The following is a 27,360-nucleotide window of genomic DNA, read 5'->3' on the forward strand; positions in this document are numbered from 1 at the left end:
GTCTCGGGTTGTTGAATACATTTTAAAGTGTTTATAATAATCACTTCAAAATATTTAGGTAATTAACTGTAAATTATGTTTTGGTATTCTCCAGGGACAATGGCCTTAGAGCTATTGAGAATTTGATGCAAAAGAAGGGGAAATTTGATGACATACTGTTAGAGACCACTGGATTAGCAGACCCTGGTAAGAAGTGAGATTATTAATAACCAGAATATAGTTCTGTGATATATTGTAAATAGATGTATTAGAGGAATATCTAAAATGAGTATTAAAGCTTTTGTTAGTATTAAACCAAAAACTTTTTTTGGTTTAAAAGAGGAAAAGTACTCGTTTGTCATTTTCTTTGGCAGTTGAATGAATGATCAGAGTATTTCTTGGTGCTTTTAAGCTGTTAATAGAATTGGAAGTTTTATTGATTGATTTAGGATTATTTGTAAGAACAGAAGTTGTTAAAAATAAGGACATGTAGGAAGAGCAGAGACGTTCTACTTCTAAGTACAGTTGTCCCTTGGCATCCATGGCGTATTAGTTCCAGAACCTCTGAGGATACCAAAATCTATTAATGTTCAAGTCCCTTACATAAAATGGTGTAGTATTTGCCTATAACCTATGCACATCCTCCCATATACTTTAAATCATCTGTAGATTACTTATAATACCTAATACAATGTAAGTGCTGTGTAAGTAGTTATTATACTGCATTGATAAGGTAATCATGACAAGAAACTCTAAACTCTACTATGGAAAGCTACACAGAGTCAACCTGTTTCTCACAATGGGTTTCTGTTACCTTCTTACCAAGCTCTAATTCTTGATAAAGTCTGCTTATTTTCCCCAAATAACTTTTAGATAAAATCTTTATTTTCAGTTTGCATAAAAGTTAGTGCTTATTCTGTGAATCTGACCCATACCATTATTTTCTTTTTGATCTGGGTCTCTGGCATTGGGGCGATTTGTAAAACTATATTAAAGTATTTGGGGGTAATTTACTAAACAGGTCATAGTTGTCCAAAAGAAATATTGAAGTATCCTGAGAGTTCAAATGTGATCAGTGGTTATTGTACTTAAAACAATTACGTAGTAACATCATCCCCATGTTTTCAAAGTAGTATTGAATTAGGCTATTTTGGTCCTTATAGTAGGCATGGGTTTTCATACCTTTCTGATAAATCTGACTGATGATAGGACTTGGACTAATATGTTGGCGTTAAATATTATTTGAATCTGGTAAGAAAGAATATATTGTATGCTTTTATTAGAAATAGCAAATATCAGTTTATTTCATCATAGCCAGTTTTGCCATTTTATAGACAAAAACTTGATACTTTTGAGAGTTTAATTAAACACTATTCAGCTTTTCAGAGGAAGAAAGAAAAACTAAAGATCACAGAGAAAGCTTTTATACAAATTGTAGTTATAAAAAATGTTAATGTTTCTTGCTTCTAACTTTCTTTACAATAAAGATTTTATTGTTTGGGTAAAGATGGAACATTCATTGTAAAAAAATTTAAATACCTAAAAAATACAAAGAAGAAAGTTGAAAAGTAATCATCTCACTATTGTGATATACAAGTAAGGGCTGGGCATGGTGGCTCATGTCTGTAATCCCAGCACTTTGGGAGGCTGAGGCAGGTGGATCCCTTGAGGCCAGGAGTTCAAGACCAGCCTAGCCAACATGGTGAAATCCAGTCTCTACTGAAAATTCAAAAACTAGCCAGGCGTTGTGGCGCACCCCATAATCCCAGCTACTCAGGAGGCTAAGGCATGAGAATCGCTTGAAAGCTGGGAGGCGGAGGTTATGGTGAGCCGAGATCACGCCACTGCACTCCAGCCCAGGCAACAGAGCAAGACTGTATACACACACACGCACATGCACACGCACACACACACACACACATTCATACACACACACACAAGTAGGTAAATTTTATTCCAGGGATCTCTCTATGCCAGTGCTACTTGGTAGTATGTTGAATGGCAGCCTCAGCCTCAGCTGGGAGCTTGTTAGAAATGCAAATTCTTGACCAACCCAGATCTACTGAATCGGAATCTCTAAGGGAGGGGGTCAAGCAAGCTGTTTTTAATAAGCCCTTCAGGTGATTCTTATACTGTACAGCCATACCGCAGGGATATTGTGGGCTTAGTTCCATATCACTGCAGTAAACTGAATATCACAATAGAGTGAGTCACACACATTTTTTTGTTTCCCATTGCATATAAAAGTTATGCGTTTTGGCCGGGTGTGATGTGACAGGCCTGTAGTCCCAGCTACTTGGATCACTTGAGCTCAGGAGTTTGAGGCTGCAGTGAGTCATGATTGCACCACCGCACTCCAGCCTGGATGACAGCATGAGACCCCATTTCTTAAAAAAAAAAAAAAAAAAAAAAAGCTGTGTTTATACTATACTGTAGTCTATAAAATGTGTAATAGAATTGTCTAAAAAACATACATACCTTAATTAAAAATATTTATTGCTAAAAAATGCTAACGATCATCTCAGCTTTCAGCAAGTCATAATCTTTTTGCTGGTAGAGGGTCTTGCCACAATGTTGATGGGTGCTGACCAATCAGGGTAGTAGTTACTGAAGGTTGGGGTGGCTATCGCAATTTCATAAGATAATAATGAAGTTTGCTGCATTAGTTGACTCTCCCTTTCATAAAAGATGTCTCTATAGCACATGATGCTATTTGATAGCATTTTACCCACAGTATGACTTCTTTCAAAATTGGAGTCAGTCCTCTCAAACCCTGCTTTATCAATTAAGCTTCTGTCATATTTTAAATCCTTTGTTGTCATTTTGACAGTGTTCATAGCATCTTCACCAGGAGTAGATTCCATCTCAAGAAACCACGTTCTTTTCCCGTCCATAAGAAACAACTTCTCATTAGTTAAAGTTTTCTTATGAGATTGCAGGAATTGAGTCACATCTTCAGACTCCCCTTCTAATTCTAGTTCTCTTACTGTTTCCACCATATCTGCAGTTATTTCCTCCGTTGAAGTCTGAAATCCCTCAAAGTCATCTGTGAGGGCTGGAATCATCTTTCAAACTCCTATTCATGTTGATACTTTGATCTCCCATGAATCACGAATGTTCTTAATGGCATCTAGAATGATGAATCCTTTCCAGAAGGTTTTCAATTTACTTTGCCTAGATCCATCAGAGGAATCACTATCTATGGTAGCTATAGCCTTATGAAATATATTTCTTAAATAAGACTTAAAAGTCAAAGTTACTCCTTGATCAGTGGGCTGCAGAATGGATGTTGTGTTAGCAGGCATGAAAACAACATTAATCTCCTTGTACATCTCCATCACAGCTCTTGGGTGATCAGGTGTGTTGTCAATGAGCAATAATATTTTGAAGGAATCTTTTTTTTTCTAAGCAGTAGATCTCAATGGTGGGCTTAAAATAAACCATGCTGTAAACAGATGTGCTGTCATCTAGGCTTTATTATTTATAGAAAACAGGCAGAGGAGATTTAGCATAATTCTTAATGGCCCTAGAATTTTCAGGATGGTAAATGATTATTGGCTTCAACTTGAAGTCACCAGCTGCTTTAGCCTCTAACAAGAGAGTCAGCCTGTCCTTTGAATCTTTGAAGCCAGGCATTGACTTCTCTATAGCTATGAAAGTCCTAAATGGCATCTTCTTCCAAAAGGAGGCCATTTCATCTCCATTAAAAATCTGTTGCTGGCCGGGCTCGGTGGCTCATGCCTGTAATCTCAGCACTTTGGGAGGCCGAGATGGGCAGATCACGAGTTCAGGAGTTTAAGACCAGCCTGGCCAACATAGTGAAACCCCATCTCGACTAAAAATACCAAAAATTAGCCTGGCTTGGTGGTGGGAGCCTGTAATCCCAGTTACTTGGGAGGCTGAGGCAGGAGAATGGCTTGAACCCGGGAGGCGGAGGTGGCAGTGAGCTGAGATTGCACATTGCACTCCAGCCTGGGTGACAGAGCGAGACTCCATCTCAAAATAAATAAATAAATAAATAAAAAATAAGTCTGTTGCTTAGTGTAGCTACTTTCATGAATGATGTTAGCTACATCTTCTAGGTAGTTTACTACAGCTTCTATATCAGCATTTGCTGCTTTCCCTTGCACTTTTATGTTATGGAGATGGCTTCTTTCTTTAAATCTTGTGAACCAACCTCTGCTACCTTCCAACTTTTCTTCTCTAGCTTCCTCACCTCTCTCAGCCTTCATAGAACTGAAGAGAGTTAGGGTTGCTCTGAATTAGGCTTTGGCTTAAGGGAACATTGTGGCTTGTTTGATCATCTATCCAGACCACTTCATATCAGCAATAAGGCTGTTTTATTATCATTTGTGTGTTTACTGGAGTAGCACTTTTAATTTCCTTCAAGAACTTTTCCTTTGCATTCACAACTTAGCTAACTGGCTCAAGAGACCTAGCTTTTGGCGTATCTTGGCTTTCAACATAACTTTCTCACTAAGCATAATCATTTCTAGCTCTTGATTTAAAGTGAGAAACAGGTGACTGTTCCTTTCACTTGAACACTTAGAGGCCATTGTAGGATATTAATTGGCCTAGTTTCATGTTGATCATATTCTTTATGTTGTCATGGTTCTGTCATAATTCTTTTAGTTCTATGTTTTAATAGTTTTGGTGCTCATTACCAGTACTGTTGCTTCTCCATTCCCGAGTTAGTCCATCTCCTGATTGAATTTCATTGTCAGGCAGTCTTTTCAAGTTACAGGTACTGCATGCATTCTTTGGGTTCTTATACACTTCATTGATTCAAAATATTTGTCTTTTGTTTTTATATTACTTGAAGGATTACTTGGCTCGGTATAAAATTTATCAGTCACACTTTTTTCCCCCTCAACTTTGTAAATGTTGTTCCATAATCTCCTAGTGTTTGATTGGCTGGATTTCTTTGTCCAATGTTTTCTCCTTTTATTAGGAAGAATTTGTGAGTATTATAGTCTCTGAGTTTCAATGCTTGCTGTTTTCTTTAATGCTTGAGAATGTCTGTCTATTGCTTTCGTTCCTGAAAAATAACTTGTTTGGGAACACTTTCATTAGAACTTTGTGGTCACTGTTTTATTATTTTGGGACATCTAGTGTTACTGTAGAAAAGTCTGATTTTTCTCCCTCCCTCCTTGAAGGCACTTTTTTTTTTTTAATCTAAAATGCCTGAGAGTTTTCTTCTTTATTTTTGAAATTCAGTAATATAAACAAGGTATATCTAAGTGTCACTTATAATCATTTTTCCCTAAATTATAATATGCCCTTAGTTCTTCTAAGAACATTTTCCTTGTTTGTTACCATGAATACTTTTTTTTGGTCAAATTATTAGATCCTCTACTTCATGACACCAGTTTTTTTAATACTGAATTTTCTTTTGTTCTTCGTATGTATTCTAATTGCTTTGATTTGTCTTTTACCTTTGCATTTACTGTGATCATCTGAAGCCTTTCTTTTTGTCAATAATTCTGTTTTCTCCAGTATCTGTCCTGTTTTTGATATTTTAAATGAATTAATTGGTTAAGTCATTGTGTTATATAGGCTCTAAGTTTCTTTAGCACTACAAACTGCATTTTCATCTTATTCTGCTTCTTGCTTTTGAGCTTGTTTATTATAAGGTTGTATTGTTTTCAAGTTCTTCATTATGATGAAGTTGTTGAGAATTTTCTTTAGTTTTTATTGGGTTATGTATCCTTCCAGAATGGGTTCTTTGCCACTTGTATGCCCTATTCATTTCTTCATTTTGTGTTCTTTCTTGCTTTTTATTCCCTGTATGTGTGTATTTCTTTTTGTCAGGCTGTAATACATATGCATACAAGTTTCTTCTTGATATGGGAGAACTTCTATGTGGTGCTGATGGGAAATATTTTTAATACTCCACTCTCCTTACCCAAGTTTGTTTTTCTCCTGAGCCCTAGTTTGAAAGCTGTATATTGTTGGAGTGGAGGGAAAGAGAAGGGAAAAGTGGTGATTCAGAGAGCCAAATGGGGCAATGTGGCTTTTAGGCTCTGCTCTCTTGAAGTACCAAGTATTTCACTCTTGGGTCTGCCCAACTGCTTATGAATAAAATTCCTTTGCCTTGTATGGGGACATCATTCGACCTCAGACCTCTCATTTCTCTTTGTTCTGAGCCCTAGAATGTGACCTGACCTTCTCCTTCCCAAAGCATGGAGATGGTTAAAACTCACTCTTGAAATTTTTTTGTTGACTTTTCCCTCTGTTGCTTATTCATTCCTCGGCTCTACTTTTTGCCATTTTGGAGTGTATTTCTGGTAAGTGTTTAGGATTTTGTAAACTATTTCCCTACAACCTCTTATTGGAGGTAGGGGTAGAGTTGGGAATGACCATCAATCACATATAACTTTGTTTCTTATTTTGACTATCAGTCTTCAAAATTTATGGCAGGCCCTTTTATATTTGGTTGCTGCTAATAAAATGTTGGCCTTTTTGTTTTATTTTTTATTTTTATTTTTTGTTTTATTAGATTTTGAAGAAGGGAGATTCTAAAATGTAGTTCAGGTTTTCTCAGTGTCAGCACAAATAACATTTTGGGTTGGATAATTATTTGTTGTGAGGGGGTTGCCCTGTGCAGAGTAGGATATTTAACAACATCCCTGGCTTCTACCCACTAGATGCCAGTAGCATTCCCCTAGTTAAGACAACCAAAAACATCTTCAGACATTGCCAAATATTCCCTGGGGAGAAAAGCACCCTGGTTTGAGAGCCACTAATCAATTTTGTTCATTCATCTTTACTCCTCCTAAATACCTACATCCAAATTTTAAATAGATCTTTCTCATGTAGTCTGGCAAGTATTATATCAAAGATAAATACCAGTTTTAGAATAAAGCATTAATATACTCTTACATTTCAACTTAAGAGGCAAATATTAACAGTAGGATTTGTAAACTATTTATTAGACTAAAAATCAATGAATTTTTAAAAATTACAAAATGATTTATGTATGTTAGATATTTTACTGAGTGAAAAAATTCATGCTTTTTTAAATGACTTATTGTTTGGAGTAGTGATACAGTAGATTTAATTTTCCCCCTCATTAATTAAAATCATGTTTTAGCCAAGAAAGTGAACAGAATTCTTATTGGCAATTCAGTTGTTTCCCATTTTGGAGACTGACACTCTCCAGTTCTAAGTTAAATAATTGTCATGGTAAAGTAATTTCCTTGAAAAGAACGGACATTGATTCAGCCCCTGTTACTCACAAATCCTATTTGAGTCAAATTGGAAAACTATTACGTTTTTGGGAAAAAAATCAATAGGTATCAGGAAACCATTAGATCTTGTGGCCCTTGCTATATCTTGCATGAGTAATCACTGTAAACAGCTGACCGGTATTTCATTGTTGACACAGAGTGATGCTTGGGGGACCACATCTTGTCAGAGCAGGTGGACAGCTTTAGACGTTGGAATGAGTTTGATTATCCTTGTTTTTCTCCTACACTCATTCTTTTAGACAGCCCTGTCACTAACTGGGCCTGTGATGCTTTCAAAAATCAAATACTTTCCTTGCTGTCAGTTTTCTTTTTCTTGCGTTGTGGCATACTAATCAGGGTATGTGGTTTGGTACTGAACCAATTTCTGTCAAAAGCAAGTTTTAATTTATTATTTAGGAAAAATTTTTCCTAAGACCCAGGTTTTATACAGTCCTAAATAAATAGTGTGAGGAATAATTAGTAATGCCATAGAGTATATAATTTTACTTCTAGTTCTACACAGATTACAAGTAAATTTTTTTTGGGCAAGTGATTTTGGAATTATCTATGTTTTGTTTTCCTTTTCCTTTAGAGTGATAATTCACTATTTATGATTGAATGATTATCATATTAAAGAGGTGAGAAAATAAAAATAAGTCTGATGTGCACAAAGCCATACTGCTCAAATTGTTTGATAATATCTGTTAATTAAATTATTATGGCATCGGTAGAAGAATGATGTTTTGTTTATATGTGGTTAGAATTGGTCTTTTTTAAAGGAAATAACGAGAGATGGAAATGGAATGGGTATAAATAGTAAAAGGTTCTATCACTATAATTCCCTTTTGCTATAAATAGTTAAAGCTTCTATCACTATAATTTCCATAAGAAGATATATGTGTTTACCTGTTAATTTTATCAGGGCAAATTAAAACATGGATAGAATCATGTTTCTCAGTGTGAAGAAATATTTTTATTTGATGAATATTATATATTTTCAGGTGCAGTGGCTTCTATGTTTTGGGTTGATGCTGAATTAGGGAGTGATATTTACCTTGATGGTAAGTTAAAAAACAGTTTTCTTTTATCTTTCTTGGTTTTTTTTTTTGTTTTTTTTTTTTTTTTCTGAGACAGAGTCTCACTTTGTTGCCCAGACTGGAGTGCATGGAGTGCAGTGGCATGATCTCGGCTCACTGCAATCTTTACCTCCTGGGTTCAAGTGATTCTCCTGCCTCAGCCTCCCGAGTAGCTGGGACTACAGGCGTGCACCATCGTACCTGGCTAATTTTTGGATTTTTAGTAGAGACGGGGTTTCGCCATGTTGGCCTGACTGGTCTTGAACCCCTGACTTCAGGTGATCCGCCAGCCTCGGCCTCCCAAAGTGCTGGGATTACAGGCGTGAGCCACCACACCCTGCCTCTTTTGTTTTTTAGTAAAATCTTTATGGTTAAGCTTATTGTTGTTCATTCATATTATAACTTTAATTCCTTGCATTGTTGTTCTTTTCACACTTTAGTTTAATGATGAAATCTTTGTTCATATAGATTAAAAAACCCCAAACAGTGGTGGAAATCGATGTCACTCAACTTCCAATTTAGTGCTTCCACTAAGGTTTTCTTTAAAAAAAAAAATGCTTTGTAGGTTTTCTGTATCCTCTGTTGTTTGATTTATGCCCTTAATATAATGTTAGAGCCTTTTATTTTAATCCTCCAGGCAATATGAGGATCATATTTTTGCTTTTATTTTCTCTTGAAGATAAGAATTAAACACTCCTCCCTTACTTTATTTACCTGAACACTTTTGGGCAATGATATGCCTTCATTTAAAATATATTAGAAACTTTCTTAGTTAAGCGACTATGTTTTCTCCCTTTCTCTTTCCCTTTTTCACCTTTTTAAAAACCAGTCGAAATTTTCTTACTTTTTCAAAAGTAATAATCATTAAGAAATTTAAGAATTATTAAGCTGGGCCCCATCATTGAGCTCTAATATATGTGGCGGGTAACTGGTTGAATTCCTTAGCATAATTAAACTCATTCTTTTGTTATCAGCATATATTCAGAGATTGCAAAATGAATTGGTAGTTTGGAAACTTAGGCATATGTTATGTAAAACATTTATGAGCTGGATTTGGATTTGGATTTGGTGAGAGATGTTAGGAATGATACCTTAAGATGTCTCATTCTTTAGGCAATAATTTAAATCTTAAGAAAAGTCTTGATTTTGATTATGTGAAAATAAACTAGAAATAACCTGTCTTATGTACTTATCACATTTGACTATGTTATGAAATTTGACTTATATTTTGGATTGTAAGCTTTTTCAGTGCCAAGGAAATCTTATTTTCTTATTTATTTAATTTAAAATTTTTATTTGTTTTATATCTTCTCTAGTGCCTTAAAATAGTGCTAGCCACTCAGGAAATGCATTGACTTATTACTGGAATTTAATTAAATGGCAGCACTGGCAAGAGAAAAAAACAGTACATTGTTTTATTGAGTAGTATTTGTGAACTGAAATAGGTTAGTTTTAATTTTCATTCTGAAGTATGGTTGCACAAGTATTAATAAGCATTCTTTTTAAAAAGTGATTAAAATGTTTTTTCCTTTGTAGGTATCATAACTATTGTGGATTCAAAATATGGATTAAAAGTAAGTTGAAAGATTGCTATGAGTGGCTCATTATTGAGAGCTGGGAATATGGGGATTGATTGTTTAATTTTCTTTATGTTTGTATCTGAAATTTTCTTTAACAAAAACCTTTCTCAAAAAGATATCCTGAACAATAGGTGAAATTTGTGTTTTAATTATTAGTTTGTGTTAAATATTTCTTTTCTATTACTCTGAGTTTGATTTGGTGATAAAATTTGGAATTATAATTTGTAATAAGCATATGGGGTTAGGATAGAGTTTGGTATGTATAGCTCTTCACAAGGATTCAACCCCAATATTGCTAAGTTTTTCTGTTCCATAGAAGAAGCTGAGCTTGATAAAGCATCTGAGATCTTATTTTTCTTGTTAAATTACTATTAAACACACACTGGAAATGAGTTTTTAAAAAATATTGAAGACCTAGGTGATGGGTTAATAGGTGCAGGAAACCACCATGGCACCCGTTTACCTATGTAACAAACCTGCACATCGTGAGCATGTACCCTGGAACTTAAAATTTAAAAAGTACATATTGAAGAAAATCAGGATATACACATAGGATTAGTAAGAAGACTCTCTCCATTAAAAGGCATCTTGCATCGCTTCTTGGTCTTTTGGCTAAGATCAAGTGTAAAAGACATCCTGCTATGAATGTTTTTGTTAACTTCTAAGGTCCTAGAATGCATTTAAATGAGGTTTAATTTATAAAATGCATTTAGTAAGATCTTTAAAAGTATGTTGTTACATACAGTAAAATGATGTTTCTCAACTTCCCAGGTGAAATACCACTAAAGGCAGAAGAGAATGAAATCATCCCACCCACTGACCCGTTCCCAATCTGAGCATATGGATAGGGCCCAAAGCAGTAAGTTCTTAGAAGTTTAAATTCAGTGTTTAAAAATTAGTGTCTGTTTTGTATCCAACCTCATATCTGAACGTGTTAATTTTTTTTTTTTTTTTGAGACAGAGTCTCACTCTGTTGCCCAGGCTGGAGTGCAGTGGCACCATCTTGGCTCACTGCAACCTCCACCTCCCAGCTTCAAGCGATTCCCTTGTCTCAGCCTCCTGAGTATCTGGGATTACAGGTGCACACCACCATGCCCAGCTAATTTTGTATTTTTAGTAGAGACAGGATTTTACCATGTTGACCAGCCTGGTCATGAACTCCTGACCTCAAGTGATCCACTTGCCTCGGCCTCCCAAAGTGCTGGGATTACAGGCATGAGCCACCACGCCCTGCCTGAACTTGTTAATGTTTAAGTTTGCTTTTTTTTCCCAAATCTTTGCTGAAATTATGCTCTAAGGGGATATGTCAGGTTTGTCAAATAGCTACCAATACCTCTTCACTGGGCCTTCTCTCCCTCGTTGATAGAGTGCCCTAATTTGAAAAGTTTGGAAGAAAACTCCTTTTTTAGAGTTTAAAATCTCAATTTATGAATTTATGAATATAATTTAAGAATCAAAGAATGATCCCAAATACAGTATTACAGTTTCACGCAGAAAAATTCCAATGACTGTTGGAAATCATATTTCTTGCAAAATGCTTATGGAGGTAGCAAAAAAGCCCCAAATTATTCATTTTGAATGTTTATTATAGGCATGTTTGAATCTACCTCTTCCATAAATTTATTACAAAATTTGATATACCTATGTGACAGATAACTGCTAAGACATTTTGTTTTTTTTTTATTTTGATAGACTGAAAATGCCATGCTAAAAGTCAAACTGTTTATGTATTTTATGATTATAGGAAAAATTTTATATGTATAGTTGGGTATGGAGAAGAGTTAAATAGAATCTATTATCAGCATGACGGAGGCCAAAAAAACAAAGCAACATTCTGAATAATGCAAACACAGTAAACGTTTAACCTTCTGCTACCTTGATAAAACCTCTTAAATTATTAAATCAGTATACCTACACAAAACTGACACACTGTCAGGATAATGGAAACTTTAAATTTTCTAAGTCGGATGCCAGATAAATAACTTTGCCTTGATATAAAGAATTTTCCAACTTGTCCAATTCCTCTGGTTGCAAAGCTTGACCTCAGTAGCTGCTTGTGATTCAGAGAATTCTGAGGCAGTACAAGTAATGACACTTGGATAATGGGCAGCAATTTAAGAATGTCATGCTTCACAGAGCCAGCCCATGACAAGTAAAGCTGAGAAATGGTACCCTGTGGCCAGCCAGCCAAATTGAAACTGAAGTGGTAATTGATATCATGGGGTATCACTCTAATGGGATTGTCACCCATTGATCTGAAATATTCATTTTTTAATCATAGGCAAAGAATTGGACAACTTAAAATGACAGCTCTCTATTCTGAGGACTTGACACCCGGGCTACTGACATTGTTCTTTTCAGTTCTACAAATGTGACAGCATTTAATGCAATAGAAGCAATGAATGAAGTTACCCAGAGAAGGTCAAGTGAGAGGTTTCTTCTTGGTTCCTCTGTTATATTGCACAATCTGTTGAAACAATTCAGTCAGAAAACAGTTAGCTTGGAAAAGGCCAGAACAATAAATAGACTGACATTATGCAATAATTTTTTAAAAACTAAAATAGTGTTACATCTGTAACCAATCCATTTGAAAGAAATAGTTCCTGCTGCTGCTTTTTAAAAATGACACCAGACATCTTTGACACTAGATTTATTTCCACTCTGGTCAACAGCAGTGTTCTTTCATAGCCAGTGGGTTTTAAGATAGTTTTTTCTTTTCTTTCTTTCTCTTTTTTCGGTCCGGCTTCTTTCTTTATTTCTGCAGAAAAGGACACCCTATAGCCCTTCATGAAGTTAGGTCTACAGTGGTGTTATTTCAGAGAGTTCCTTTGTTTCTCTCTCTAACCCCCCAGCTTTATTGAGGTATAATTGACAAGTAAAAACTATATATATTTAAGGTATACAGTGTGTGAATTACATTATCAAACAATCGAGCTAGTTAACCTATCCATCACCTCACATTGCTATTTTTTTGAGAGGGGGTGGTAAGAACAATTAAGATCTATGTTTTAGCAGATTCAAGTATACAATAGAATTAACTACAGTCATCATGCTGTAATTAGCTCTCCATGACTTATGCATCTTGTATAACAAACTTTGTATTCTTTGACCAACATCTCACACCACTCCCTTTTAATTTCCTTTGTTTCTTGTGGTAAGTTAAATTGGGGTTTTGATCCTTAGCCTTTTGAATATGTTGGATTAATTAGTATCAAAATTATTTTTGTCTTTTTTGATATATAAGCAAAAGCCATAGTTGTTAAGCAGAGATAAGGAATACTTTGGACATCTATGTAATATAAAATATTTAAAAAATATTTTGCAAAAATTTTTTCTTCATTTACTTATACAGGTGGAATAGAATGCCAAACTTTCCATTTTGTTTTATTTTATAAATGAAAGTCATCTGACTTAATGACCAAATGGTATATAATGTATTATTGGAGAATGTTCTTTTGAATAGAAGACATTGATTTTATACTTTTTGCAGAGTTTGATTTGGGAAGGTAGGAAGTCACATGAGGGAAATGCAGGGCTGATATCTAAAGAAAATAAATGTTAAGATGCACTTATTTTTTTAAATATTTGTATAGCTTTCCTATGGGCATAGAAGAGGACATTTATCTCTTCTGCTATAATTGTATATGATTACATATAATTTTAATACAGCTGTAAATATTGGCAGGCTCTCATTTGGGGTGATTTTCATTTATTTTTATATTTGATACTTTCTGACTGCCTGGAAGTAGTAAAACGTTAGTCTACCACTGTTAGCTTTGAGTGAAGAATTCTAATATTTTGGAGAGGTAAATGCATTTAAAACATTGCACATTACCTTGTGAAACTAACATTGTATTAGTTACATTTAGGCATGGAAATGCAAAAACAAATCTGTAATTCTTCTGTCATATCATTTTTATGCCTCACAAACTCATAGCCAAATAACCCCAATTTCATATGTTAAAAAAGCTTTCATAAGGTCAATAATATAATATCTTGAAAAATATTTCAGTTTAAAAAGAATTTTCAGTACTATAGGATCATTCAGAGGCAGATGCCTTGCCAAAAATATATCATTGTTAAGTAGATTTACTGCTTAATGGGAAGAGATTTGTTGCTGCATGTTAGATGGCATTTTTCATGTAACATCTTTTATGTATCCCCACAACAGGAGGTGTTAATTACAATTCATTCAACAAATATTTCTTGAGCCTTTGTGCCAGGCACCATTCCAAGGTCTGTTAGCAGCCTCATTCTCTAGAGGCAGAGTATATAACAATAGGACTTGTTGTAGCCTCAGGCCAAGATGAATTATGAAAAAAATATTAAACTTGATCTTTTGGCATGGAATGATTTTTGATACAATACTTGTCAAGTTCTGTGACTTCCATAATTGCAGAGTGGGTCTGCAGTTGAATTGAACAAGATTTTGCCTGAAGTAGAAGTATCATTGCCATGATTTTATTTCAGTTTTGTTTTCCTCAAAATAGAATTTGCTGAACTTTTAGAAGGAAAAAATGTTTCTTCTATAGACCTAATCAAGCTTGTTAAATAAAATTATTACCTGCTTGCTCTGAGGTTCCAAACTATTCAGATACCCCTAATGATCATCTCCCCATGAATTATGAAACTGGTTTGGCTCTGATATATGGTTATTGACATTTGTGTAGCATTGTACACAGGCTGATTTTATGTGGCATAAAAGATTTCACAAAGGCTTTAAAATTATGTTCATTTTACTTGATGGGTGTGTGTTCAATTAAAAAAAAAAGTCCCTGTGATTGCATATAAAATATAGTATCCTGTGATGATGAGGGTGTTAGATTTAGTTTCTTCCTTTATAAATGAAAATAGCCATCTCCCATAATTATTATGAAAGCTAAATGAGAAAAATGTATATAATTTATAAAGTTAGATTCAAGGATTTAATTCATTTGTAAAGTTGGCTTCAAATATAGAGTATTACTATAATCTAGTTGCCTCTAAACCTCAGTAGCCAGCTTTTTATTGTGACAGGGAACCTCTATTGAGGTTTGAGGTAATGAGGGTAAAAGTGTAATTTCCCAGAGAAGAAGCTTGTGATGTTGATGACGTTAGGGATGTAAACAGGATTATGAGGGGGAAAAAAAAAAACAGACAACAAAACTTGCCTCCAGAGAGATGGAAACTACCACTTGGGCTCTAAGTCAGTGTCAAAATATTTTTTGGAGTTAGCCTGACTCTGGAGAGGTCAGTAAAATAAACAGTTGCACTGAGAGGCCAGATTAGCAAGTATGGGTTTCTAAATGATAAACTGCTTTTAGGCTAGAATCAGGGCTGAATCAGCCTTCCCACCACTTATTTGTTTCTAGGGTGTTTGAAAGGCCTAGTACTGAGTTCACGTGGTGCATGATTGTGGGCTGGGGTGTAGGGAAGTATTTTAGATTCTAATATGGGGGTTTGGTGTGAAGGGAAGTATATTAGATTCTAAGAAACTATATTTCAGTGGTTATCCTTTTTTTAAAATAAGTAATAATGAATATTTAGAACCAGAACAGTTTTGTAAGAAGGAAAATACCTAAAATCTGAACTGTAATCTTCTATGTTTTTATGACATTATGTGAATCAAAGGGGTTTTCCTTTTAAGTAAAAGAAAAGGTCAGGAGTATGAAATCCTAAGCCCTCTTCCTCCCCCTATAAAACCCCACAGGTTCACTTGTAGAAAAAAATTGCAAATGGGGAAGAAAAATGCTTTCAGCTAGAAAAGTTAGTTTTGGATTTGTGTATTCAGTAACAGAACATGTTGAAGTTTTTATTAAATGCAAGAAAATGTCTCTAAAGTAAAATCCTTTGTGTTGACATTAGATTTTTTATTGTATTATAGTAACTTTATTCAAACTTTTTTTTGTTTAGCATTTAACAGAAGAGAAACCTGATGGCCTTATCAATGAAGCTACTAGGTATTCATATTTAAAGTATATATTGATTGCTGGCTAATCGTAAAGAGAAAAATCACTAAGATGAAAACCAAAAACAAACTAAGAAATTTTAAAACATAGTCAAGGAAAATTTGTTTTCTTTTTTTCCCTTAGTTGAATTATTGCTATCTATTTATAATGATCTCATAACTAAACTTTTACTTGAAGTCATTTTTGTCGTAGCATAAAGTGAATGCTGAACACAGGAGTTCTGTAATTTTGAGGAACTCGGGAAATATTAACATTTAAAAATATTTTCTTGTTATACAATTTCTTTGGGATTGAAGATTATATATATATATATATATATATATATATATATATGTATAATAATAATTATTATTATTATTTTTTGAGACAGAATCTCACTCTGTCACCCAGGCTGAAGTGCAGGCTCACTGCAACCTCTGCCTCCCAGGTTCAAGCGATTCTCCTGCCTCAGCCTCCCAAGTAGCTGGGATTACAGGCACCCGCCACCATGCCCAGCTAATTTTTGCATTTTTTTATTTTATTTATTTTATTTTATTTTATTTTATTTTAGTAGAGATGGGGTTTCACCATGTTGGCCAGGCTGGTCTCGAGCTCCTGACCTCAGGTGATCCACCCGCCTCGGCCTCCCAAAGTGCTGGGATTACAGGCATGAATCCACTGCGCCTGGCGGAACTTAAGTATTTTTGTAACTTTTTTCCTTATGAAAATATGGTTATTATAGAAAATATAAATAAGCCAAATAGAAAATAGCCAAATTGGATTTGTGATGTACATACTGTTGAAACCTGCTCTTTCAGTGAACTAAAGTTAATTTAGTTTTGAGAATTTAGTTGTATTCTTTGAGATAAAGCATAAGACCCTGAATAATTGAGGAAAATTGAAAGAATTTCCAGTTTTACTATCCTGTTAATAGAAAATAGAGCTTCTGATTATTATCATCTACTTTGTTATCTAGCATTCAGTCAACTGGATTCTTTACAGAGATAATATACAGTATATTTATAGTGATAAAGAAGACATTTGTGCAATATCCTGATATATCTTCTGAAGTATAGCTTATTTTTTTTAAGAAATGGAGTCTTGCTATGTTGCCCAGGTTGGACTTGAACTCCTGGGCTTAAGGGATCCTCCCTCCTCAGCCTCCTAAGTAGCCAGGACTACAGGTGTGCTCTACCATGCCCAGCTCTGAAGTATAGTTTTAAAAAACCTGTTTAATACAGTTTTTAGTATTAAGTGAAGTTATTCTATTTCTTTGAAAATTTTGGTAAATATTACAGTATTTTAGTAGGTAAACTCTTCTTCTTTTTACCATATTGGATATCTGAATTTTATGCTTTTCTTCACAAAGAAAATTATGAGTTTAAAATCATCCTTTTGATTGTAAACTTTTTGAGACTTATCTTTGTAGCACAAGAGTAGCAAGTAACAGAACTTAGTAAATACTTTGCAAATGGGTAATGTGAAATCTGAACTTGCATAGTAATGAATACAATTCATTCACATTGAAAAATTAGCGGATTAGGAGTAAACTGAATCACTCCTATAGAGCACTATATAATCCTTAACTGATATATTGATCTACATGAGGTGTTTTTATTTATTTTTAATTTGTTAACATTTCTCTTTTGATGTATTAATCTGCATGCGTGTATATTATTTAAAATTTCTTAACATTTCTTTTTGTTTGCTATTTTAGGCAAGTTGCTTTGGCAGATATCATTCTCATTAATAAAACAGACTTGGTTCCAGAAGAAGATGTAAAGAAATTAAGAACGACAATTAGGTACAAAATGATAAGTGTGTTAAGTGCCTACAGATCCATATTGTATACACAGAATATTTTTTACTCTGATTGTTGCCCTGTAGAAACTTAAGGTATAAGGTTGACCTGCTTCAAGAACGTTAGGGAATCACATATATTGTTGATGGCTAATTGTTATATAAATGGTAATACATAAAATTAGTCCCCAGTGCTTGCAGAATATAGTTCACAGTTAATAGACTGATATTCAGGGTCTTCGCACTCCATCTTTCTTTTCCTGTCTTCTCTTTGACTCTTTCCTAATGTCAGTCTTCCCTAACTTTACCCAGGATGGTTAATTCACTTTCCCATGGATGCATCCTGTCAGTTCCTGTCTTTACTCATAATGTATTCTCACTCTGCCAATCCCTGAGTTCTTTCTTGTTCTGTTTTTTTTTTTTTAATTTATTCTATAGAGCCTATTCTGTCTCTCCCCGCTTCCTATGTGAAGTCTTCCCTGACTCAAGTGGTCTCAGTTTTCCCTGAACTCTTGTTGACTTCATCTTCCTTAACTGTCAACCATGCATTGTCTTCCAGCTTGCTTGTATATCTTCTTTGTCCATAGCCAAGGCTGATCAGCATAGGACAATCAGGACAATATGAATGATGCTCAAATATGTGCTAACAGTCATTTTGCTGACTGTTCTGGAGACTCCCATTCCTTTTGAAAACAAAGATGGACTTTTCAAATGAAGTTATAGTTCAGGGACTTTGTTTTGAATTATTTTGTAAGACCTGAACTAATAAAAGCCCTATACAGAGAGACATTCGGTAGCTATTATTATTGGTTATCTTTAATGTGTACAATGCTTTGAGCGTGATGGCTCAAAATTACTATTCTTAGTATTTATAAGTTCTACTGACTAGATTTTCAATCTGTCATCTCAGTTCATATAGTATATATTATAAATTGAATCAATAAAGGTAAGGCTCATTAGGAGATTATTTGCCATGATTAATGATTGTGGAAGAAAGAAATTCATATTTTTTCCACATATTTCATCTTATTTTAATAGTAATGTCCTTAAACTTTACTATAAAAAAATATAATGTCTCCATGTGGAGGGTAGGTATTGTTGCCTAGTGTTGAAGATCACAGACCTTGGAATCTGCTTGGGTTCTAATCCTTGGTCTGTTTCTCATTGTCTTCTTAGGGAGCTTATTTACCCTTTTAAAGCCTCCTCTGTAAAAGGCATAATGCCTATCATAAGTTTGCTTTGAGTATTACATGAGACAATGTTGGTAAACTTTGCACAGTGCTGACACATAGTAAGTGCTCTGTTAGCTATTATTATGTAATTTTTTTCTTAGCTTACATAGTAAGTTCAAGGTATAGTAAAAAAGGGAAGAAAGAAAAAGATGGCTGATTTTGAAAAGGAGAAAGTGATGAATGAAGATTGCTTTTACATTTTTTGACACTGGTCTTCTAATCTTGTTTCTCTTCATAAATCTTGTGCACCATTGTGATTGCTAAGAAGAACACAATCTATTTAGCAAACGTTTTTGGCATAAAAGGAATGATAATTATTACTTGACTTTTATATCCTTATAGAGACCTAAGCTAAATCTCTGACACTGACAATATTGACTATTAGCCAGCTTGTTAACAGTACTAGAAATGAATTTGGTAGAAGCAATTTGGTAAATTACACACCCTTTTGGCTTTTACCCTCCGTTTATATCAGACTTGTGACTGACTCAGAATGATATTTGGGGAGGTGAAAAAAGGTAAACATGTTTGAGAGGAATTAGCCATCAGACTAGAGTGTATTCAAAAAAGAAGATTTAAGAATTTTGTAAAATAGTGGAGAGACTTGCCTCAGAATCATTATATGTGGGAAGCCTTACCCATGAGAACAAACTTGAACAAGTAGCAAGAATCTTGGGTAAGTAACCCTAAAGACAATTGAATTCATGATAGAGAATTGATGATTGATGATAGGCAATGGAAAAGATAAATAGATGAGGTGTACAGTGTGTTGAAAAGAATTTAACAGGTACTTTTTGGTTCCATACAAAGCCATATTCTATAGTATCAAAAGAGGGAGAACAGGCATAACGGGTAGAGAGCCTAATTAGGGAACTGACGAGGTTATTCTATAAAGGAACCTGGGATGTGTGACTTAGAATTACTGTGAATACTAAGGACAGGCTGGGGGCAAAGCAACTTACAACTAGGTTTTTATTTTTAGTGTGTATATAGCCATTTCTACCATGTATGCCTGAGGAAAAAAGTGACCACCGTAAAAATTTTGAGTATCTACTCATTTTTAAGAACACTGGGATAACTGACTATTTATGAATGATTTTTTCTAAAGTGAAGCGTCTTTTTATTAACCACAAAGTAGCCCTTAATCTGACAGTTGTGTGAATTTTTGCATATATGTTTTATTGATGTATGAGTGGAATATATGTGATTTATTGTTTGAAGGAAAATCATAATTATTTTTTAAAGCAAGTTTTGTTTTTCTGTTTTTAATTTTTTTCTGGTTCCAGATGTATTTGGGTATGCTTATTTCCCGTTTTAGAAACAATATACTTTGTATACTTTTTTAAAAAGTTAATTTTTACTTTTAAACTTTGTCTTCCTCATTTATTATTTATTTCAGATCCATAAATGGACTAGGACAAATCTTAGAAACACAAAGATCAAGGTACTTTAAAAAAGCTATTCCTATTAATAACAAATCATTTTAGTTATTAATAATAAACATTAAGTAATTGACAAATATGCTTGATTCTGATATAAGAAAGATCTAAGTGCATTTAAAAAGATTTGGATCCAAAATGTTGTTTGGAATGCTCTTAATAAGTTAGTTTGGCATATTTGACTAGTACATTTGCCTGTCTTCAAAACTAAGATTACAAAGCCATGATAACACTGTGTAAGTGTTTGCTTAATGAGGAAGAAAAGACTTCCAAACACTCGAGAGGGTAACTCAGTACAGAAATCTGAAGTATATTGAGGAATCTTAATTTGAAGTGTTTAAATGGCTTTTTAATATTTAAAAAGCCTTCTTAGTGTTTTATAGTTGCCAAAAAATACATGGAGTCTTTACCTTGAAGTTCCTGACAAATTCTTTTATTAAATTTTGACTTTCATTTTCTCTAGGTTCTGTTCCTAAAACATCTGTGAAGTGTATTTCTGTAGATTAAATTCTGTTTTCCATTGAATGTTATCTTAATTTCAGAAAATTTCTGTGCAGGGTTATTTTATTAAGCTCATTTTTTTTTTTTTTTTTTTTTTTTTTTTTTTTTTTTTTTTGGTGAGAAAGGCTCAGCAGCTGATAGACTCAGCAACAGGCAGCCAGGAGCTCTGAGGCTCACAGCTGGCAGTCTAGTTCCACTCAGTCTCTACTTGAGAAATTCTTTCTTTGGAAGTACAGCAGAGGCCTTAGGTGAGTGGCTTGTCTGCTATGGCAGAGATTAGAGGTGCTGACAGACTGCCATAAGTATTAGGCAGTAACAGCAGCAGCTGCTTATATGCATGTGAACAGCTGGGGAATTAATTTGGTATGCATTCTCAGGAGCCACTCATCTGCTGGCAGAGGTAGCAGAAGAATGCCCTTAGTGTAAGTCCTCTACAACCATACACCAAATGTGCTCCCTGCGTTTCAAATTCCATTGTAGAGAGTCTCTGATAATCTCACTTATACCATGAGCCATTCCTCAGTATCTGTCCTCTTCCTGTTAGTGTTCTACAATTCCTTTCTCCTTAATTTTTCTCCGCTTTACAAAATGTCACACAGACAAGTGCATGATACTTAAACAAGCTTTTAAAAATAATGCTCATAAATAGCTTTGGTTCTGTCATAATATTCGTATTTATAAACATTTTAAGTCAATTCTCTTCTTTTATTTTCATTTCAGAAATATCCATGTCCTGAATAAAAGTTGTGTCTTGATTAGTTTATTATGTAACAATTTAGTGTGTTTGACATTTCTAACTTTTATTTCTAACATTTGCTTTATTATAGAACAATAAACATGCAGTGATTGATTTTTCTTACTTCAAGTGGATGAGTGAGCAAGTGACTAAAATCTTCTGTGAATTCTTCAGTGTATGGTGCTTGCCAATGCATCTGAGAATCTAGGGACTTTCTGAAATAGTACTTCCTTGCTATGAGGACTGAAGTTGGATTAGAATCCTTTTCAATGAAGATCAGATGTCCTGAGTAGAATTCTTACTATTGGGTCCTGAATCTTATATTAAATATTCTCTCAAATTCCTTGAGGCATAGCAACTTGAGCTTACCAGTTTAGAAACTGGAGATTTGGGCTGGGCACGGTGGCTCACGCCTGTAATCCCAGCACTTTGGGAGGCCAAGGTGGGCGGATCACGAGGTCAGGAGATGGAGACCATCCTGGCTAACACTGTGAAACCCCATCTCTACTAAAAATACAAAAAATTAGCTGAGGCTGGTGGTGGGCGCCTGTAGTCCCAGCTACTCAGGAGACTGAGGCAGGAGAATGGCGTGAACCCGGGAGGCGGAGCTTGCAGTGAGCTGAGATCGCACCACTGCACTCCAGCCTGGGTGACAGAGCGAGACTCTGTCTCAAAAAAAAAAAAACAAACAAACAAAAAACCCGGAGATATGGTTAACAAAATAGTCAAAGTCACTCTTATAGAAGTTTTGTTTTATTTTTTGTTTTTTAAAATTTTTTTACCATTTTGTAGCTGACAAGTACTGACAATAAACTGCTATAAGCATGTGTAGAAAAAGGCTCACCTTGAGTAGTTAAGAGTAAGGAAAAGGAATAGTGTGTAGCATCGTCTTAGTGGTAAGACTTAAGTTGATTTAGTAGCAAATGGAAGTACTAGTGAACCACATAGATTTCAGAAGTAGGAGTAACAGGTTAGAAGATGTGTCATTTTAATCTTCTCTAGACTTTTTCTTAATTTTTAGAAATGTAAGTGGACTGAACAGAGGAAAACCAAAACACAGCTGGTCAATAATAAGTTAAATTAATTTGACAAACTGCCTGCTATGCATTTCATAGCATTTTAAGGACTATATAAGCAATGGATAAGGCAAAAACTCTGCCTTTAAGGAGATCAGTCATTGGGGGGAAACAGAAGCAAACAAACAAAAAGGCAACATAATAGATATTAATATTAATACAAGAATTTTAAAAGCACAGAGTTCTATAATAATAGGAAAATAGAGGGAATGATTGCTCAACTTTTCTTGAAAAAGAGTCAGGAAAATATTGACCGAGAAGGCAGTCATTGACCTGAGTCTTAAAGAATGAATAAGGTTTTTACAGATGGAGTAGGGTAGGGATAACTTTCCAGGTATAAGGAAGATTTTGTATTCCAGGGACCTTTGAATATTTTAGAATGGCTAGAAAACTTGGTATTATGTAGCACAGAAAAAGTGGTATGACTGAAGAGATAGAGAACTTACCACAAAGGGTCTTGAATGCCATGATACATAGTTTGGATTTTCTTCTGTAGGGAGCAAGGAGTTAGTGAAGGATTTTAAAAGCAACATGACTCTTGGGAGGTAGATTCAATGTGAGACTAATCTCCGAGGTATAGGAAATACAGGAAGGAGGAGCAACAGGTCGGGTAGTGGTGGAAGCAGGTTTGGAAAATGTGATTGGTTTTGTAAACGTTTTTGAGTTTGAAGTGCCACTGGGGAAGGCTTTTGGAAATTTATTTCCAGAGTTCAAGACTGAGCTATCATTGCAGTTTGCTCAGCTATTTACTGAGCTATCTACTGTCAATTTGGATAGTATCTACAGTTTGCATTGTAGATACTGGATACTTGGATTGGCTGGTGCACCCTGTTTATGAGACTCACTGGAGTTTGAAGAGCTGACCACTGGAAAATATCCCTAAGCAGTAGCTGCAATTCCACCCCCACCGAGGAGAGCCAAAACCCTCTTCGTTTTCACTCTCCTGTCCTTGGTCTTAAGCTACTTAAAGCAGCCTTTAGACATAGGGAAAAATTGAAAGCCTCTCTTTTAAGAAAAACATTAGGTACTTCTGGAATAGAGAGTTCAAGAAATTAGGAGAAAAATGAACTTTTGAAGCTTTTTCTTTCCCTTTTTTGTTTACTTCATTCTCTTACTCAGTTTTAAAATGCTGGTAATGGTCTTTTTTTTCTTTTTTTTTTTTTTCTTGGCGATTTTAATGCTTTGGAAAAGATCTCATGGTTTTATCTCCAAAGGAGGAAATTAATTTGATGCCATGGAAATTAGTTTTCTAGTCGTATGCCTTGAATGAGTGAAGAATTTCTTTTTCATGGTGGTACTAAATTTGGGGAAAGCTATAGAAACTTTCATCTGGAAGCTTACACTTTTCCTCTTTTTTGAAAATTTGGTGAGAGACTTGGATATTTTATTATTTTCTGTAAAAGAGTGTAATTTGTTATACAGGTCTAATATTGATCCTTTTTTGGAAGTATGGAAAGAATCTGAGTATAAAGCAGAATTACCTCTGGATGGCATGTATTCTCAAGGACACTGTCACAGTGAAACAGTTTATTTAGAAGCTTGTGTTTCCAAACTGTTGAATTTGATATTCACAAAATTGGCATGTGTAAACTTTATTAAACTTTAAGCTATTTCCTAAGATGAAGATGACAAACTTGGAGGGAAACTTCATTCATTTGGTTTATTTTTATTTTTATTTTTATTTATTTTTATCTTTTTGAGACAGAATCTCACTCTGGTTTGAGACAGAATCTCACTCTGTCCCCCAAGTTGGAGTGTGGTGGTGCGTTCTCGGCTCACTGAAACCTCTGCCTCCTGGGTTCAAGCGATTCTCCTGCTTCACCCTCCGAGTAGCTGGGATTACAGGTGTGCACCACCACACCCAGCTAATTTTTGTATTTTTAGTAGAGACGGTTTCGCCACATTGGCCAGGTTGGTGTCAAACTCCTGGCCTCAAAGTGATCCGCCCACCTTGGCCTCCCAAAGTGGAGCCCCCATGCCCCTTGTTTGTGACCTGTCAATATAAATATGCTCAGTAGCGGGGGGAGGGGTGGGGGGTGAAAAAGGAAATATGTTTAATATTAAGACTTTGGCCTTTTAGTGTAAACTGATATTCAAAAATTTCTTCATAGAACATTTGCTTCTTTGCTTGATCATTTTTCTAATTCTGTACATCTAAAATGCCCAGAATTTGAGTTGCTGTTATAGTCTACTAACATAGAACTTTGGAGTAATAAGATGGGAATTTGTCTCTCTTTTGCCAAGACAAGCATTCATAATCTAACACAGTATTGTTGCCACGAGTACGAGTATGTGATAGACTGTTGAGAATAAAGAAAGCAGGCACAGTTGGTCAGTCCTAAGATAAAGGAGATGTTTTTTCTTATATGTTTGTGCATTAAAGAAAAAAAAATCTTGAATCTGACCAATGATGTTTTTTTTCCTTGTAAGAAAATTTAACAAATGTTTGGCAAGCTTCTGGAATCTAAATTTGAAATTATACATTTGTCATTTTCTTTAAATATTTCTTCACCTTAGCTTTGATTATGAGAAATCACTGTCCTCTGCTGTTCTTTTTTTTTTTTTTTTCTTTTGAGGCGGAGTCTCACTCTGTGCCAGGCTGGAGTGCAGTGGTGCAATCTCGGCTCACTGCAACCTCCACTTCCTAGGTTCAAATGATTCTCCTGCCGCAGCCTCCCGAGTAGCTGGGACTACAGGTGCGTGCCACCACACCCAGCTAATTTTTGTATTTTTGGTAGAGACAGGGTTTCACCACGTTGTCCATGGCCAGGATGGTCTTGATCTTGACCTTGTGATCCGCCCGCCTCGGCCTCCCAAAGTGCTGGGATTGCAGGCGTGAGCCACCGCGCCCAGCCTGTCCTCTGTGATTTTCTGGGCTTATGTTAAAATTATAACTCAATCACCAGTCTTTATAAATTTGCTTTTTTATATTTAAACCAAACCTAATGCTAATTGTGATATGTTATTTATTCTCACCTGATTTGAATCATTGGATTCAATTAAATGAGTTTAATTATCATTAAATAATTCTAAGAGAAATAATGTCTATTCGGATGGTGGGAATTTTCTTTCTACATGCAGCCCCATTCTGAATGAATGAAATCAAATCACGTGACGATCAGGGTCCTAGAGTAACTTAATATTTTGTACATTGGTTATTTGACTCCTCATTTTTATATTACATGTTATATCAAGGGAGGGGGTATAAAAGAAATACAAAAATTGCAGAGGTATCTGGAATGTACCTATTTGTTAATTCTATTTGTCATTTCTTTTGTTTCATCTTTTGAGTAATAAGCTGCTTGGAAAAGTTTCTGTTCTTTAGCTGATTTTTTAGCTATAAAAATGTATTTGAAAAGCTCATAAATTTCAGGATTGAAAAGATAATTGAAAGTTTAAAAAAAACCTAATTCATTGAAGTAATAACCAAATAATTTTCAATCTTGATTCAACTGTGATTCAAATCTTACACCATTTGCCCACTTCTATGAATTTTATGTATAAAATTTTTTAAGAGTCAGAGTTTTTTTTTCTTGATTAATTGGATGTATTTCACAGAATTTCCAACTGCTCACGTTAGTTTTCTTCCTTTTAGAGTTGATCTCTCTAATGTATTAGATCTTCATGCCTTTGATAGTCTCTCTGGAATAAGGTATGTTTTGTATAATTTGGTTACTTTTATTGTTATGTACCTTTTTTCCCCATAGTTAACAGGAATGATTTGCACAATTGCATCCATGATTTAAGCTTCCTGCCATTCCTTTGGCATACAAGACCATTCTTAATGAGGTATATTCTTGGAAGTTTTACTAATTGGTTGTTTGGAAATCATATTGCATTTTCCTGTAGAAATTATAGTGTAAATGATAGTTAACTTTAGAGGCTAATCGTTAACACTTCTACGCCAAACACTATGTCTAATACTCTTTCTATGAGAAAATGCATGAAATACATAGAAAATTTTAGCTTAGCGTTTTCACACAAATAACTCTCTTCACTTTATTTTTTTATTTTTTATTTTTTCTTGAGTTTTTTTTTAATTTATTTATTTATTATTATTTAAGTTTTAGGGTACATGTGCACAATGTGCAGGTTAGTTACATATGTATACATGTGCCATGCTGGTGTGCTACACCCACTAACTCGTCATCTAGCATTAGTTATATCTCCCAATGCTATCCCTCCCCCCTCCCCCCAACCCACAACAGTCCCCAGAGTGTGATGTTCCCCTTCCTGTGTCCATGTGTTCTCATTGTTCAATTCCCACCTATGAGTGAGAATATGCGGTGTTTGGTTTTTTGTTCTTGCGATAGTTTACTGAGAATGATGATTTCCAATTTCATCCATGTCCCTACAAAGGACATGAACTCATCATTTTTTATGGCTGCATAGTATTCCATGATGTATATGTGCCACATTTTCTTAATCCAGTCTATCATTGTTGGACATTTGGGTTGGTTCCAAGTCTTTGCTATTGTGAATAATGCCGCAATAAACATACGTGTGCATATAGTCCTTTAGGGTATATACCCAGTAATGGGATGGCTGGGTCAAATGGTATTTCTAGTTCTAGATCCCTGAGGAATCGCCACACTGACTTCCACAATGGTTGAACTAGTTTACAGTCCCGCCAACAGTGTAAAAGTGTTCCTATTTCTCCACATCCTCTCCAGCACCTGTTGTTTCCTGACTTTTTAATGATTGCCATTCTAACTGGTGTGAGATAGTATCTCATTGTGGTTTTGATTTGCATTTCTCTGATGGCCAGTGATGGTGAGCATTTTT

The 27,360-nt window shown here is 34.9% G+C and overlaps 1 protein-coding gene across 7 annotated transcripts in view; it reads left to right on the forward strand.

Moving 5' to 3' along the window:
• The window catches only part of ZNG1C (Zn regulated GTPase metalloprotein activator 1C), a 58,053-nt gene that overhangs the window by 6,729 nt on the left and 23,964 nt on the right, over positions 1-27,360 (forward strand). For 3 of the 7 annotated variants that reach the window (NM_201453.4, NM_001378113.1, NM_001378115.1), the window contains 7 exons: positions 95-186; positions 8,210-8,269; positions 9,821-9,858; positions 15,757-15,803; positions 17,509-17,595; positions 20,223-20,267; positions 26,171-26,227. In NM_201453.4, coding sequence (NP_958861.2) covers positions 95-186; positions 8,210-8,269; positions 9,821-9,858; positions 15,757-15,803; positions 17,509-17,595; positions 20,223-20,267; positions 26,171-26,227 — 426 coding nt within the window. The remainder of the gene's footprint in view (positions 1-94; positions 187-8,209; positions 8,270-9,820; positions 9,859-15,756; positions 15,804-17,508; positions 17,596-20,222; positions 20,268-26,170; positions 26,228-27,360) is intronic. The other 4 variants (NM_001378114.1, NM_001291821.2, NM_001378117.1 and 1 more) reach the window with 4 other exon arrangements.

The sequence above is a fragment of the Homo sapiens genome, chromosome 9 (assembly GCF_000001405.40).
Source record: "Homo sapiens chromosome 9, GRCh38.p14 Primary Assembly".
NCBI classification, from domain to species: domain Eukaryota; kingdom Metazoa; phylum Chordata; class Mammalia; order Primates; family Hominidae; genus Homo; species Homo sapiens.